The sequence below is a fragment of the Homo sapiens genome, chromosome 18, assembly GCF_000001405.40.
Source record: "Homo sapiens chromosome 18, GRCh38.p14 Primary Assembly".
In the NCBI taxonomy this organism is placed as follows: Eukaryota; Metazoa; Chordata; class Mammalia; order Primates; family Hominidae; genus Homo; species Homo sapiens.
This window is the reverse complement of record NC_000018.10, coordinates 33,646,201-33,662,425: the sequence shown is the minus strand read 5'-3', so window position 1 is coordinate 33,662,425 and position 16,225 is coordinate 33,646,201. Positions and strand designations below refer to the sequence as shown.

Genomic DNA, 16,225 nt, shown 5'->3' with positions numbered 1-16,225 from the left:
TTATTTCCCACATTTTCTAGATAATGAATTTAAGATTCAGAGAGGAGAAGTGGCTTGCTAGAGACAGCAGGTGAGTAGCAAGAATTCAAACCAGGGCATGTCCGTGCCCAGAGCCCAACCTTGTGTCTATCCCTGCACCATCTCAGTGCAAGGCCACAAAGGCCCGTACTGCCTCTGTGACGGCAGAATAATATGGCAACTTTAACTGCCATTCAGCACCAAACAACACTCATAAATGAATATTCCAGATATAAGTAAGCAACACTATTTTTCTTATTTGTAACTTAATGTATCTCAGTAACAAGAAATAAATTATCATTTATTTTTATACTATCAGATAAGCACAAAAAACATAGATGTTATTTTTTAAATATGCAATGCATTTATGAACCCAACAGATTTACTACTATAAATCATAAATAGACACACAAAATGTTAATACAAATTTTTACATATTTTCAGTGGGTGCATATTCCTTCTTCTATTTTACATCAAAGTTCTCAGTCAAGCCTCTCCTAGTTTTTTTTTATCACAGATTAAAATTATTGAACTGAATATCATGGATGGGATTGAATTCAGGAAGATTCTGCTTTCTGATTGCTAGGTTATTGTTTACTTGATCAGCAAAACACACATTACCTTAAGTATGCAGAACTGAAGGACAAAGAATAAATGGCAGCTATCTTACCTGTTTAAGAGCCTTTTTGGTGTGCTGCTGGAAGGAAGACACTAACTTGCTTTGCACTGCTGTGTTAGTAAGGCTTGAATCTCGAGTGGAAGATGCTTCATCAGTTACCTGCTTCGAACAAACTAGAAACAGAGAGAGATAATGATATTACTAATTTGAATTCCTTTTTTATATCCACTGTAATTACACACTTGGAGCTTTTCTGCAATTGAAAATGGATACCTAAAATAAAGCAAAATAGCACAGTAAAAAGAATAGTATCTACATATGAAGAAAAGGAATCATTTAATAACTGTGTGGCCGCAATTCCATTTAACCTTTTTAAGCTTTCCTGTCCTAACCCGCAAATTGATGATAATTTCTATGTCATTGAGCTATTGTATGGACATAAAAAATAGACAATATCTGCCTCAGGAGTTGGGAGTCAGTAGGTACTATTTGAATTTGAATATGGAGATTAGGCAATGCATAGTATTCTAAAAACAAACAAAAAAAAACAATATAAATTAATGCAATTGTTTTAAATCTACCCAGCCTCACAGATATTATGATGCTTCTACTTAACAGCCTTACTACTATAGAATCTGTGACCTATGGGACATGTTTATTTTCTCTTATGGGCTGAGTCATAAAGCATGGATAAGGAAAAAAGAAATCTGAGATGCTTGTTATCAATTCAAGATAATTATTTTGAGGAAAATGGTGTTCTCACAGATTACAGTACAACTGCTCATTTTTATCAGAGTCAGGCTTGCATGTTGTCTATTCTACAGAAGACATTTTCTTCCAAAAGACCGCTTTTTAGGAGAATCAATGTCTCACTGACTTGGGTGACCAAGTAGAGCCCACAGGCAGTGTCTGCTCTCTGAAACCTATGTTTGAGCCAGAACTCTACCTTTAGTTCTCCTCAAACGGACAGACTTCTGAGTCCTCATTTGACTCCTTCTCAAACTGAGAGACTTTAACACTGAAATGGTTTGAGTAGGAGCACAGATGCAGGCCCTTTTCTGTATACACTGGGGGAGAAGGAGTTTGGAAAATTAAAACGAGGAAGTACTATGATTAGCGACAGAATGGAGGCATATGTCAAAGGCAGGAGGCAAGAGGAAGTCAGAAGAAAATAACTTGAGAACATATTGTAAAAAAACTCAAAACATGACTTTTTAAGGGCACCAGGGTTAATGCTAATTCAAGAAAACTTTCCAAGTGATGGTAACTTGAGAGGGTTCTGACCTGAGTTTTAAAAGAAGGTGAAGAAGTAAAAATTATTGTAGTAACAAAGGAAGCACAGGCATATGCACCTTGAGAACACTCAAGTGGCTTCTGATAGACTCAAGCACACCTTGCCTAGAAATAACTATGCGGCCCGTGAGAGGCAATTCTGGGAAGAAAATAATCAAGTTTTTTGTTAATACAGAAAGTAATCAGAAAGACAAATGAACAAATTTAGGAAAATAAAATAACAGTTATTAATGCCATACACTTCCAACATGTGATCTGATTTAATCCTTGCAGCTTTCTTGTAACACAATAAGGTATATATTTCTATAATGGAGGAAGAAAACTAGAGCTCAAAAAGGTGAAATAACTTGCCCATGGTCATAGGGCCAATGAAACTGCAGAGATGGGATTCAAGGCCAGCCTAGTCTAGCTCCAGAACCCATGATTTTTCCACTTACAATATTTGGTTTCAAAAGTCAAGATCTGATACAGAAAATATCATATCTAAAGAAGCATAATTTAGTTGCATGATACTGAAACTAGAAGTTAACAAAGGCAGGGGGAAACAAGTCACTCAGCCCCCGACAAGGAAAAACTTAGAATTGTAAGTGATGGGTCTAGGAAATACTATGGTTGAAGTAGCAAAAAGATTTGCAGATGAATATAGTGAGAAAAGTCATTGAATTAAAGATCATATGACTTTTTTTACTTAATATGATTTTTTTGCTTAAGACAGTCTAAATGTTCTAGCTAAGAAACAGTTTATTACATTGATCACATAAACTATGCTTCCTAGGCTTCTCTCCTTTAAATAATCACTGGAATAATTTTTAACACCTTGCCAAAGCTTATTTATCAAGAAATATTAGAAATAATAATCAGTTTATAGTCTAAACATAAATTTATGGTATTTACTGATAATACAGATAGCCTTTTCAATGTTCTGAAGTCTCTATGAAATGTGACCAACTGAGGAGGTGACAGAGAGACGGCAGATAAAATATATGATCCCAAATGAACAGATCTCATGTATGCCCAGCCAAAAGTAAAGTGTGCATTAGCATATATGTTTTATTACTTTCACATTCTTACAATGGCATTTACATCTAGAAAATTGGAAACTTACAGGTTAGTTCGTTTAAAGGAGAACTAAATGCAGTCCATAGATATTAAGGAACTTAGGGAAAATATGAGAATGCTTCTGCATACTGGGCGTCTAAATGTACTTCCAATTTGTTTAGAAAATGCTATTATTCCTCTGTCTTTCAAAGGCAAACTCCACTTCAGCAGGATTAAATAATAACAAATTCTGACCCAGTGTACATGTAATTGAGGCCTCGCATCCCTCCTATTTTCTGAATAAGAAAATAAGCAGTATGCAATCATCTGTCCTTCCTGAGGGTAACTGCTACATAGCTCACCAGTTGCTCTATTTCTGACCTAGGAAACCATCAGACATTGGGATACCTATTTCAGTATCAGCATATACACTGTACATTTTGAGTTAAATTTATTATGGCACTATGTTGATAGTGATTGACATCTATTTATATATGTTGTATCCAAAAGAAAGATTCTATTCAATTTAGAGCCCAGAATTTCAGAGGGAGGGCAGGACAACAGTTGAAACTGCACTAAGGAATACCATGCAGTTTGTTCTAAAAATGATTCATTTTCCTTAACCCAACTTTATTTGCTTTATCTTACACTCCATTCTAGACCCAAGAAAAACATCAAGAATACCTGTCCTAGGTAGTCAATTTTCTCCCTAATCCCTCTTTCTGGAAGTTGTTCCTTACTTTATTTCTCTGGATCAAACCATATTTCCCTAATTATTTACTGACACAATAACTATAGAACTTTAAAGAAAAGCAAAATGTAACAGAAAAAAAGTATGTGATTGTTCCTTTGGGTTAAATAACTTATTTTTAAGAACAAAAAATCAGGAAAGAAAAAATGGGTAGGACATATTTGCAATTCACCCATAGGCTTCAATCAGTGTGCTCATACACATTTTTAAATTACTGACAAATACAGACCTTTTTTCATGGGCATTTGACTTGCTTTATTCATTCTTTTTCCATGCGTATGACGTGAGAATAGCTGAATCTAAAAACACTAATTCACTGAGTACAGTTGGCTGTGCAGGTTCGTGCAGATTCATATTCTGACAAAATGCAAGGTTTTCACTTTTACTTATTCTTGCAGCTTTCTTAATAATAGATGTGATAAATAAATAATGAAGGACTCATTTTAAACAGTTGCCTGAATATTTATCTAAGAGACTGACTTTGGCCTCTGAAATACAAGCCAAAGGAAAATTAATGTTAAAGAAAGGATCAGGGAAAATCCCTTGCATGTAAAATTACAACAGGAGCCAGGAAACTGAAGAATTAGGACAGATGTTTTATCCAATAAATATCAAAGACTGACATGCAGCTTAGAAAGTGATATCTTCTTGGCATTCAGAACAGAACAGGAGCTATCTTTTCTAACTATGTACTGGCATGATCACAAAACTAATGCCAGGACCTTATACTTTGAAATCCCACAATACAGCCTGTCCTTTTCAAACTGAAGATGAGGAAACAAAATGAGACTAGTTCTCCCTAGAATTTTTATCATTCCACATTTTTTAAAAGGTATAAAAATACTATTTCTGTCTACATTTTGCTTGCCTGCCAAAAATAGGCAAGCCAAAAGCATAGTTAAAAGCTAATCTGCTGATTTTAAATTTGCCTCTCAATACCTCTACTCGCACTCCCCAAACCCTCCCTCAAAATACTCTATTTAGAAGATCAGGGAGCAAAAGGAGGTGGGAGATTATAGGTAACCATGAGACAGCCTTGAAGGCTAGAGAACTGGTGACTGCTCCAGCAAAACTGCGGGCTTCAGTGTCTCCAAGTTGTCTGTCTCTCCTTTTAATTTACCATTCAACTTGAAAATACTATGGAACTAGAAAATGTAAATTAGAGTTCCTATTTTTAAAGCTGCATGCTAGGGAGGGGATATGGTTGGTATTCCCTCCTAATGTAATTACTAATCCACTGACAGGTGTACAAGAGGACATCCACAATTGTAACTGTGACTTACAACCCAGGATATACAGAAAGGAGCAATCAGAATACAAACTTGATCTATCTCTCTTGTCTCACATCCTGCCAGCCTCCCAATTCTCAGCCTCTATAATCCAGCCAATCTGGAGACTCTTCAGTGTCTTCTGAACACATCTACTTGCTGTGTTTGTTGTACTTGGTCTGATTGTCCCTCCTCCAAATATCCTTTCCCAGCACTCTGCCTGGCAAACTCATCTTGGCAGTCCAAATTCTGAACAGCTTCCCCCAAAGCTTCTCTGACTGTCCCAGCTTCTGAGGTAGACTTGCTCCTCCCCTAGCCATGCTTTCTTGGAATTTAGTGTACAAATTCATGACAGTCCCTGCAATTCTGGTGCTGTCATCTGCCTCAGCAGCCACAGGCTTGGAAACTCAGGGACTTACATGCGAAGATGGGCACAGAGCAGTCGATCTATTAATGTTCATTGAATTTTTTAAAAATCAAATTTTAAAGTATCAAATTCAAAAATTTTGTTTAAAGTATTTTTGAAGTTAACTTTCAACTATGATTTTTAATAAGAATTCATGAAAGTGGAGGTCAGCAAAGCTATTTTTTATGAAAAAGTATGTATAAAATGAATTGTTGTAAACTTGAAAATAGAAGCCTTCTTAAATTATTTTCTCAAATTATTCTAAAGTCAATTAGGGATAATATGAAAGCCAAATGACAGAATTTCCTTTGCAAGACAGTAGGAAGTTGCACGACCTGCCACTAATTATAGATAGATTTCTCTTTGCCATCTTTACTCATTGTCTTATTTAACGAGTAAAGTCAGTTTTGTGCTTTTGCATGGGGAAATAAAAATAAAATTTAAAAGTCAAAATTAGAAATCACAATGCTTACATAAAATGGCAGAAGCTGTGTGGGTGCAGAACCACAACACAGACCAGGATCTGTACATTATATAGTCTCTGCAACACCGATATTGTGTACTATTAATTGCTCTCTGTCCCACTGAGCCACCCAATAAGTAACAAGCTATCTGAGGAAACTGGTGCTCAAAGACCTAATAAAGACAAGGAGGGGTGCAGCCTTTTACCAATTTCATTTCTGTAAGTTCTCTTTCCAAACACTCCCTTTCATTCTTCTGAATAATCAGACTAGATTTGCTCAAATCACAACAGTTTTCTGTATGAATGATCTTGACATATATTATAGGTTGGTATTCCCTCCTAATGTAATTTTAAAAAGTTATATGAATAAAAAATTTAACTCAAAGGATACATAGTGTATTAGGAATAACACTGTGGTACATTGTTAGAAGTCAATAAAATCTGAATAGAGGGCGGGGTCTTAGAGGAAGTTTATTGGTTTATTGATGAATCATTCAGTTGCACAACTTTTATTGAGTACTTTCCCTCATGCCAATCACTGTATAAGATGCTGGGGGAAAAACAGTGAAAAAGATAGAATACCTGAGTTGGAGGCCATAAGAATTTTTAAAAAATGTTTTCAAAGAACAATGGTCTAGATATAGACCATTAATTCTACCTGAGGAGAACTACCGATGAAAACTTAACAATAATAAATTTGTTTTGAAAGATCAACAAGCAGACAATTCAGAAGTATCCCCAAATGGCAAATAAACACAACAGTTTATGTTTGGGTTATAATTTGTTTTATGTATAGTATTTACATTTGAAATTGTGTATATCAGATATTTTGGATATATACAGCCAGAAAATACATGCTACAAATTGTTAAAAAGACTTGAACAGGGAAAACCATCTAACCCCAATTAAACCATTCCTGAACTCTATTTTTAAAATCCTTTTTGCATTCAGCCTAAGCAGAACTGCCTTTTCTAAAAACATCTGTTTCAAGATAGGTATAGGTATTTGGGTTTAAGCAAATTTCCTTATTACATTAAAAGAAAATCCAAAGGATATAAGTTGCCAAGAAAAGTCAGTAAATAGATTAATAAATTGCTAGTAATACTAGCAATAAAATAATGGAAACAGCAATTTTTTCCTAAGACCCTTTCAAAGGACATGGAGTCTAAAAATTACAAGCACTGATTCTCTTTATAACGTTTAGAACAATATCTTCTATAATGAAACATACCTAATGTAACTGGAATGATTACTATATTTTATAACCTGCTTCATTAGCCCAATTAAGCCTCTTCTTATTCAGAAGAGATTTTCAGAAAAAATGCAAAATAAACCAAGAGGAATGTTGAATCAGATAATAATTATACCAACCATATATGAGTGACAAAATGCTGCTGCAAAATGTCATCATGCCAGAGACCTTAGTGATTTGGGTGGCTGATATCATATGATGCAAATGTCGTTCACCTGCCACAGAAATGGATATGCCATCACCTCATTACAATGGCTACAAATGGTTCACAAACATTTTGGTTAGAACACTGAAGCTCCAAAGGTAACTAGGAAGACCATTGTATACATAAGACGTAGCTATAAGAATCTCTCCTACAAGTACTCAATTTATCAGCCAGGCCAATTTAGTTATACTATTATCTCTGGATATTCATAAAAATATCTCCTTAAACACAGAAGAGAGAAAACTCAAACCAAAAATAAATATATTTAGTAGGAAAAGCATATATTGTAGTTACCAGCCTTTAGCCACCTAACCTCCTCCTACCATAGAACCAACAAGGATTTCGCTCACAGGGTAATGGAGAGTAATAATACTATATGCTGTTTGTGTGGGAAAAATGACATCAGAGGCTTATTTATTTTATACTGGTATAACCCCTGTGATCTACACTGCATCAGGTTCCTGAAACATCTGCACAGAAATAAAGCAATCAGCCTAGAAAATGAGAAACAGAAAAAAGTGGACAGGAAGGAGATCAGCAAAAGTTTGGCACAGGTCAAGGTTAAGTGTTTCATTCATGGGCATCACTACTAATTATTTCATACTTTATCATATAAACTATAAACTCCGATAAAGGGGAATCAGGTTAGCTATCCAGATGGCAGTTTGAGAAATGCTTATACAATATAACTAAAGAAAAGTGAGAACGAATTATCTGGCATCAATGAAAAAGTACTTTTTTTAAAGAACATGAGTGTTTTGTTCATATCTACAGTCACAGATTATATAAATCAAACAGAAAATTGGCTAGTTAAGATGTGTAATTGAGGGAATACCTTCAATTCTGTTTTTGAGAAGTAGTTTGTTGTTTTATTATGAGATCATATTCTGTTCTCAATCTTTAGTTTTATGAGATCATATTCTGTTCTTGATCTGTATATTATGAAATATTTATCTCACAATTCAAGAAGAGAGATGAAAGTATGCTTAAATGGGTCACTTCATCCCATTTAAAAAGAAAACGTTTTCCTACATGACTCTGGACTGTTAAAATTGACCAAAATCCATCTAGACAGGAATGAAGTTCACAGTTCAAGAGGAAATATGTAAGAAAAAGAGGTCTCTAAAAGATAAAAGAAATGAAAAGTGTCTGTAAGTAATGTTTGAAAGAGTTGGGATAAGTCATTTGGAGAAGTTAAGATGAAGGGGTGACCATCTGTTGTTTATCATCAGAGCACAGAAAAAAAAAAGGAGCAAATTAGCTTAATTAAAAGCACAAAAGATTTCAACATAAAGAAAAAAATATTCTCTATAAAAGTTATCAAGAACACAGGGAGAAGTATAAGGGGGACTGTGCGATTTCTATCCCCCGGATCATATACTATTAGAATATTGTCTACTTCAATTGAGTGGTTTAAGAAAAACACTGGCAGGAGAGAGGAAACAGGGCTTCATGATCTTTTGAAATTCCTCACACTTCTTGTGAACTGTATAATCTGGGGGCTGGAATAAAAGAAAGGAGAAGGAGAAAGAGTGGGCAATGGAAGTTCTATATCCTGCCAATGGTCATTTCTGACTGTGAAGAGTATTCGCTTTCCTCTGTGTTTTCTTCAATGTGTAACTAAAACAACATAATTCTCACATACTTAAGTTTCTCTAGGCCACCAATGTAGAGCAGGTGTCTCCATGAGCAAACAAAGCTGTTGCCTAAAATGCAGAGCTGTTGGATGAAAGACAAATTAGCTTAGTCTCCCAAAATTAGGGGACCTGGTTCAGGCATAGAAGGAATATCCTTCCTGCCCCCTGCAAGATTCTTAGGAATGGCTGCCAGGTAGTTGGTCACACTGTGTCGTCTTTCTCCACGATCATGTAGAAGCCTGTTGACACTCTCCTACCCCCACCCTCCTGAACACAAAGATGCAGACACAGAACATCCAATGTAAAACTACACTGGAGCATTCACAGGCAAGTTACTGTAAAACCTCCAGCAAAACAAGACCAGAATACCAACTGACACTGGGTAGGTGGGCAACATCTTCCAAAGTTACTCAAAACACTCCCTTCACAACTCCACAGTCACCCTCATTTTCCTTTTTTGTAGCCTTGTATAAAATTGCCTCATGAGCTGTCAGTGTGACTACTCCCCAGGGTGTCCAGACCTTTTAAATGTATGCCCCAATTTCTCCATGAAGCTTCTCATCTGCATGTAACTGATGTCTCAATTGAGATTATATTCACACACTTCAGGCCTCCTTAACACACTTTTCACTTTTGATAAAAGACCCCTCAAACTGTAGCCTCTGAGCCAATGAAAACAAAGAGTGAGCTGAGTAACGTTTCATTAAGTTAACACAACTCTGCCAAGAATCACACAATCAGAAACCCACTTATAAAACTGGCCATAAAGAATAATGAAAAAGGACTTCATAAAATTCTTCAAATGTTGGAATCATTATTTGCCCTGGGATCTAAGGTCTAAAACATAAGATTCATGTTCTTTTTTTTTTTTTGCCCCAACAGAAACTTTTAAAATACTAATTCCCTTGCTAGAGTGCTGCTTCCTCCCTGAAAGCCATTAGGGTTAATAGCAAGCAGAACCTTTTTTGATCTCTGTGGATAAAATGTGTACAATCTCTAGTTTCCTCATTTAAAAGAAATATATAGGATGGTTGCTGTTGATTTTAAGCCTGAACTATATTAGGGCCACAAAAGGAGAAACTTAATTTTTCTTGTTAATAACAATTTATAGATAGAGGATGAAGAGAGCGAAGACTGTCTACTGATGGTATCATCTCATATAAAATATGTATGAGTTCTGCAGACCAACAACACATTGTGAGTCAACTTAATATGTGTTAGGAAACTCACGATATATCAATGTATTATGCTCAGAAAACAACTCAGACACAAACATACCCATAAATCTCTGACTAAAATAGACCATAAAATTTATAATATTTTACTTGGGTGGCACAGATTTATACTTACATAGGCATAAATGGTCATGGGTTGTCAACACGGATATATCAAGTAATTCACCTAAATCATTCTTTGATCTCTAAAGCTTAGCTTGTAAAATGTGAAGTTTACATTCTCAAGTCTAATTATTATTAACTTGAGAAACTCTTCAGAAGTCAAAGAAACACATAACCATAGTTCTGTGTCTTGTAAATTCCACAATTAAAAATATACCACTTTTCCTACATTGTAAAATTTTTCAACAAAACTTTGTAACAAAGTACCTTGGCAACACATCTCCCATTTTAAAAGAATGTTTCCCTGCCCAGTTGATCCCAAGAAGAGGACTAAAGTATTATAATCATTATCTTAACTCTGCCTAAGGACTCAAGTGTTAATGACTGGAATCAAACTAAGATTTCTTATCAGTTTTTACAAAATACTTTCTTCTCAAATACTTCTCTGCTTATCCCCTAAATGGTACAGCAAATGTCAATAAATAGTTGTCAATCCAATATAACACTATGGTAGCAGCGGCTTATTCTTTCAACGCATCAAGGGTATGTTACAAATTGATGGTTAATATTCTTCTCAATACTCCCCAGTCTTTCATCCCAAAGGATGAATATAAGAAGGAAAGATGAATAAAATAGCAAAACAGATGGTGTACTCATCTCCCACTCCCTCTCTCCCTCCTTTCCAACTTTTCTCTCCCACACCCCTCTCTCTTGCTCCCTCACACACACACATCCACTCATATACCCAACCTTCTCTCTCTGATCACATTTTCAAAGTATATTTGTACAGCTGTAGGAAGTGTGGAAAGTATATCCATTCTAACTTTTGGTTCAAATATATATTAGACACAGAGTAAGCAAGGAAATCACCTAAAGCAGTTCAGTTTCCTGAAATCTATTATTGAATTTTAAGAAATCATGTGGTATCCCACTATTTTATTGGGATAAGCCAAGGGTTCCTCTTTGTCAAAGTCTTAAGTTTAGGATCATAATGGATGTGAACTAACATTGGAAAGGCAAACCGTACCAATGATGACTGGCTACTAAGTGTTCCCTGTGGTTCCAGGCAAGGTATCAGAGTAATGAGAGTCTGGCCTTTGGTGTCACACCTGGGCTTGCAATTTGGATGGGACATTTAAGCTAAGTTTGTTCCCTCAGAGGTAAAAATAAAACAAAATAAAAAAGTACTCAATACATTTTCAATATCTAGGTTTGAAAATGTGTCCTAAGGCTAGATTAATAAGCTATACATAGAAGCACAGGGTGCCTACATGGAGATGCAATTGTGGTTTGCAATAAGATGCAAAAGTGAGCAAGTCAAGGAATACTCAAGGAAATAAGCTATTTACTATTCTTTCACTGCTTTCCCAAAGTAATTTCCCGAATGCAACTTCAAAGGAGAGGTCAGGAAATCTAATTTTTGTCACATTAGCTGGATATGTTTGGGTATGTGTTATTTGGTGAAGTGCCTATTCACATTTTACATTAGGGAAGTTTGCTTATCCCTGTTTTGGTTTCACTATTGGCTGAGTGCTCTCATGCTATCTGTCACCCTTTCTCAGCTACTAAACTCCCAAGGTTTCCTCTGGAATTTAGGATGTCATTATCAAAATCTCCTGCAGCCTCCATATTTTCTCTGAAAACTCCCTTTACTTCTTAATATACAAAATCTGGCTGTCTTCCCAGCTAGGACACTGGTTCCTCTGGAATGCTCTCAGGTGGTAGCCTTTTTCTTTTCTACACCTCTTGTACCACTGGGCCTGGAAATGGAATAAGTGACCTATATTCCCCTCACTGTTCCCTCCAAACCATTCTCCCTCCCTGGTTCCTATGATGCCTCCAGCATTGTATCTCATGCCATCAGACTATATTACTAACTATTCAACCTACTGTACTTATCTGCCAACTCTTGGTTACTCTCCTTGATTTTTTGAATATGTTAGCTGCTAATATGACATCTTGTCAATGTTAGTTCTACTATAATTGTCTGTTTCAATATCCATGCTGATGATTCTCTAATATCTTATGCAAGGGCCACCACCAGCCTTTAAAACATCTTTGTGCAAAAAAGAAAAGGCAATCTTTTTTCCAGGTGGACCCAGTCCCATCCCACAGCACCAGGTTGGGCAAATGGAGGGGTGCTGAATTTCAGCCGCTGATGCCACCTCATCCAGGCAACTCTTGAGTGCACACATGGCCTAAGCACTCTTGATAGCCTGAAACCTAGCCCCCTTCTTTCTTATCAGCTCTGAAAATACATCCCATAATAGTATCCTAAATTCAATCCATGCATTCCACTCTCATATCACTTACACTTCCAACTCATTTCCTTCAGAACACCAGATCAAATAACCTTTTCACACCAATGAGACTTCCTTCTTCACACTATCCTTTACTCACCTCCACATCAGCTTAAATTCTATGGACATTTGCCTTCATTACTCCACTTCATATACCCTTAACTCCTTTCTTCCTCTCTTGCTTCATCATTTACATTTGGCAAAACCCCAGCTTCAGTCACTATACACATCTTCTGTACTTGTAGAGTGGTCCCGAACATGACTGGAGAAAAATGGACAACCATGTAGGTTGGTCTCCTAGTAAATTCAGGATGACTAACCTTAAGAATGTCCTTAATGCTGTCAGACTCTCTCAGACAAATATTTTCTATCTTCTCCTTAAGTCTACAAAACTACCTCCCCTATTCTCACCCTTAACTGATGGACTACTTTTCTATTTTGCTGAGAAAAATAACACACACAGAAGCAAACTTCTACGAGCCCCTTCCACAAGTACTGGCCTACCTTCACTTCTACTGAAACACCCTCGCTTTTCCTACTGCCTCCTTTAGAGCACCTGTCTACATCTCTTGCTAAGACCAATCTCTCCATTTGCTGAATAGTCCCATTCTCCCTCATCTAACCAAACCATAACAGAACACCTCTGCCACATTATCAATTTTCCTTAACTGAAATGTTCCCATTAGTGAATAATTTGCTAACAATTGTTTCCCATTTTTTTAAACTGTCTCTTGATTCTTTCCTTTCCAGCCATTTTCCCATTCCACTCCTTCCCCTGACCTCAAAATTCCTTGAAAGAATTGTCTACACTTGTGGTCTCTAATTCCTCTCCTCTCATTATCTTGAACCCACCTTATTCAAGCTATGGTCTTACCATTCCACAAAAATTACCACTGCCAAATTCATCAATACACTCATAAAGGTAAATCCAGTGGTAATTTCCTAATCTTCATCATGAATTCACATTTCAAAAGCATTGACACATTTGAGTCACTTCACCCTCCAAAATACTTTCTTCATATGGTTTCCAGGACAGAAAATCTTACCGTGTCCATTTACTTTCAGTCTCACTGTTTTCTATACTCTCTCCAAGCTCTTAAAATTCAAGTGCCCCTGAGCTCAGTCTTTGGGTCTTTTTTCTTTTCTATTTACCTTCAGTTCCTTGGTAATGTCATCCAGTTTCCTGTCTTTAACTACCATCTATAAACTGGCCACTTCCAAATCAGTATCTCCAAGAAGGATCTTTCCCATAATTTTCAGACAGATAAAATCAGTTATTTAACATGTCCACCTAGATATTGAAAAAGAATTTCATGTCCAGAACTGAGCTCCTGATCAACAACGCCCCTCCCCTTAACTGGTTCCCTTGAAGATTCTTCCATCTAAACTAAGGACAATGCTATTGTTCAACTTGCTCACATACTCAAACTCTGGAGTTATCCCCAACTCCTTTCTCTATCTTACACTCACATTTATCTGCCAGCAGCTTCTGCTGGATCTACCAGAATCCAATCACTTTTCATCCCATCCACTGCTAGTACTTTCCTTCAAATCAACAACACCTCTCCTCTAGATTACGACAATAGCTGTCTAATGGGTCTCCCTGCTTTTTTCCTTGTTCTCGTATCTTTTTCGTAGTTAGTGATCCTGCTAAAACCTACATGTGGCCATTGCCTTTCTAGCTCAAAACTCTACAATGGCTTAATATCTCACTCAAAACAGAAGCCAGCATCAAGGCACCATATAACCTGGCCCCCATAACTTCCCTGGCTTTGTTTCTTAACATACTCTCCCTTGTTCACTTTGGCCTCACAGCCACACCAGCCTCTTGCTATCTCTGGAATATTCCAGGCACTCTCCTGCCTCAATGCCTTTGTAACTGCTGTTCCCTCTACCTGGAGTTCTCTCCCCTGAATGCCTGTTCTCTCATGCTCCTCAGGTCTTTTCTAAATGTAACCCTCTCCCCTACTCCCCCACTCCCTTATGTATTTTGCCCCATATCACTTGTCACCACTGAATAACCTATACATTTTAGATATTTATTTTGCTTATTTTCTGTCTCTCAAAGAAAATAAGCTTCATGAGAGATTTGCTTTTGTTTTTCACTGCTGTAACTGCAATGTCAAGAATAGTACTTGGCACATGAAAGAAGCTCAGTATATATGTTGAGAGAGCACATGAGCGCTCACCCAGGCAAGAGTACCACACTAGGAGCAACTGCAGTTAAGATTCTCCTTCACCCTCCTGAAAGGGAAAAGTATGCCCCACTCACCTCCCCTTTTAGAAAGCCAGAAATTACTGTGATTCTCTGCCTTTTCCCCTCTCTAATCACAAAGACCAGCCAGGGTTCCACCATTACCACAACAATTGGGGGGATACTCAAAAAGCCTGGGAATAGGGACAACAAGTCACATGAAAAGTAAAACATCCATAAAGCAGTCTGCAGCCATTCTTGTAATTTCCTTAGGGCAATAAACTGTGTTTTTCCTACATTAAATTCACAACCTTTGCTACAGATCAGAGAGGAACGGAAGCAGTAACAGTCTTACAGGGTCTATCAGCACACAAGTTTAAAGAGAGCATTCAGTGAGCATGCAGAGGACAAACAAAGGGACTCTATGGCCATTAATAAAATGAATGACTTTGGGTTATTACTGAAATACAATATTTCTGCAAACATCCTTTAAGGTTTGTCTGTTTAAAGGTAATTTACTGATTCCTATGAGTCTACTGACAGAGACTTTAACTACACAGTTTTCTCTCAAATCATGATCTGGGTCCCTTTGTGGAACCAGTGGGTAGAGTAGAAGAAAGCACTGCAGCTATTGTGGGACAAAGATTTGCCAAAATTGCAGTGCAGAATTACATACACCGAAAGGATCACAATATAATTGTCTTAAGGAAGACAAAAATAAGTTCACATATAAAATTCAGAGGTGAAAAATGCCCCCCCCCCCCGCTCCCCCTTAAAATTCTGGAAGGTTCACTCACTTCTTAAAAGTGTCTAACAAGAAAATATCTTATTTGGCCCTCTTTTCACTGTGAGGAATGATAACACTGAGCTTCATTTGCAAAAGACAAACCAAGGAACAAAGCTGTTATAAAACTACTTGTGATTACAGGAAAAATCAGCACAATCAGAAATAAAACATTAGCATTCTCAGTCCTCCCATAAGAATGAAACCACTAGATGCCCCCAGTAACCCTCTCACTTTGCAGGAGAAATATGTTGATACTTAAAGAAGTATTTAAGAAAATTATTCAGGGAAATATGTACTGTTAAAAAACAACAAAAGCAAAGAACTATATACTTCTTTTAGATTTTATCCTTTTTGAATCAAAACACCTTGATGATAAATCTCAGCGGTAAAAATTTAGAAGAAAACTGTATTGATAATGGTGGGAAATTCAATTAATGAATCATTGGCATTCTATATAACTTTTAAGAGAACAAGGGATTATATTTTGGAATTCATCACACTTACCTCCATTTTCTTCTCCATGGGCATTTGCCTCGGCCATATCTGTACCATCCAATTCAGATTCACAGACTAAATCCAACGTGCCATCTGCTGGGCATGACGACTCCTCTTTCTGTATTATTTTGAAAAGTGATGATTTATGGAGAAGATGTATTA

General features: G+C 36.7%; 1 protein-coding gene across 8 annotated transcripts in view; it reads right to left on the bottom strand.

Moving 5' to 3' along the window:
* The window catches only part of ASXL3 (ASXL transcriptional regulator 3), a 172,977-nt gene that overhangs the window by 88,770 nt on the left and 67,982 nt on the right, over positions 1–16,225 (bottom strand). For all 8 annotated transcript variants that reach the window (XM_005258356.2, NM_030632.3, XM_011526205.3 and 5 more), the window contains 2 exons: positions 16,073–16,181; positions 689–810 (listed from right to left, as the gene is read on the bottom strand). In XM_005258356.2, the coding sequence (XP_005258413.1) occupies positions 689–810; positions 16,073–16,181 (231 nt within the window). The remainder of the gene's footprint in view (positions 1–688; positions 811–16,072; positions 16,182–16,225) is intronic.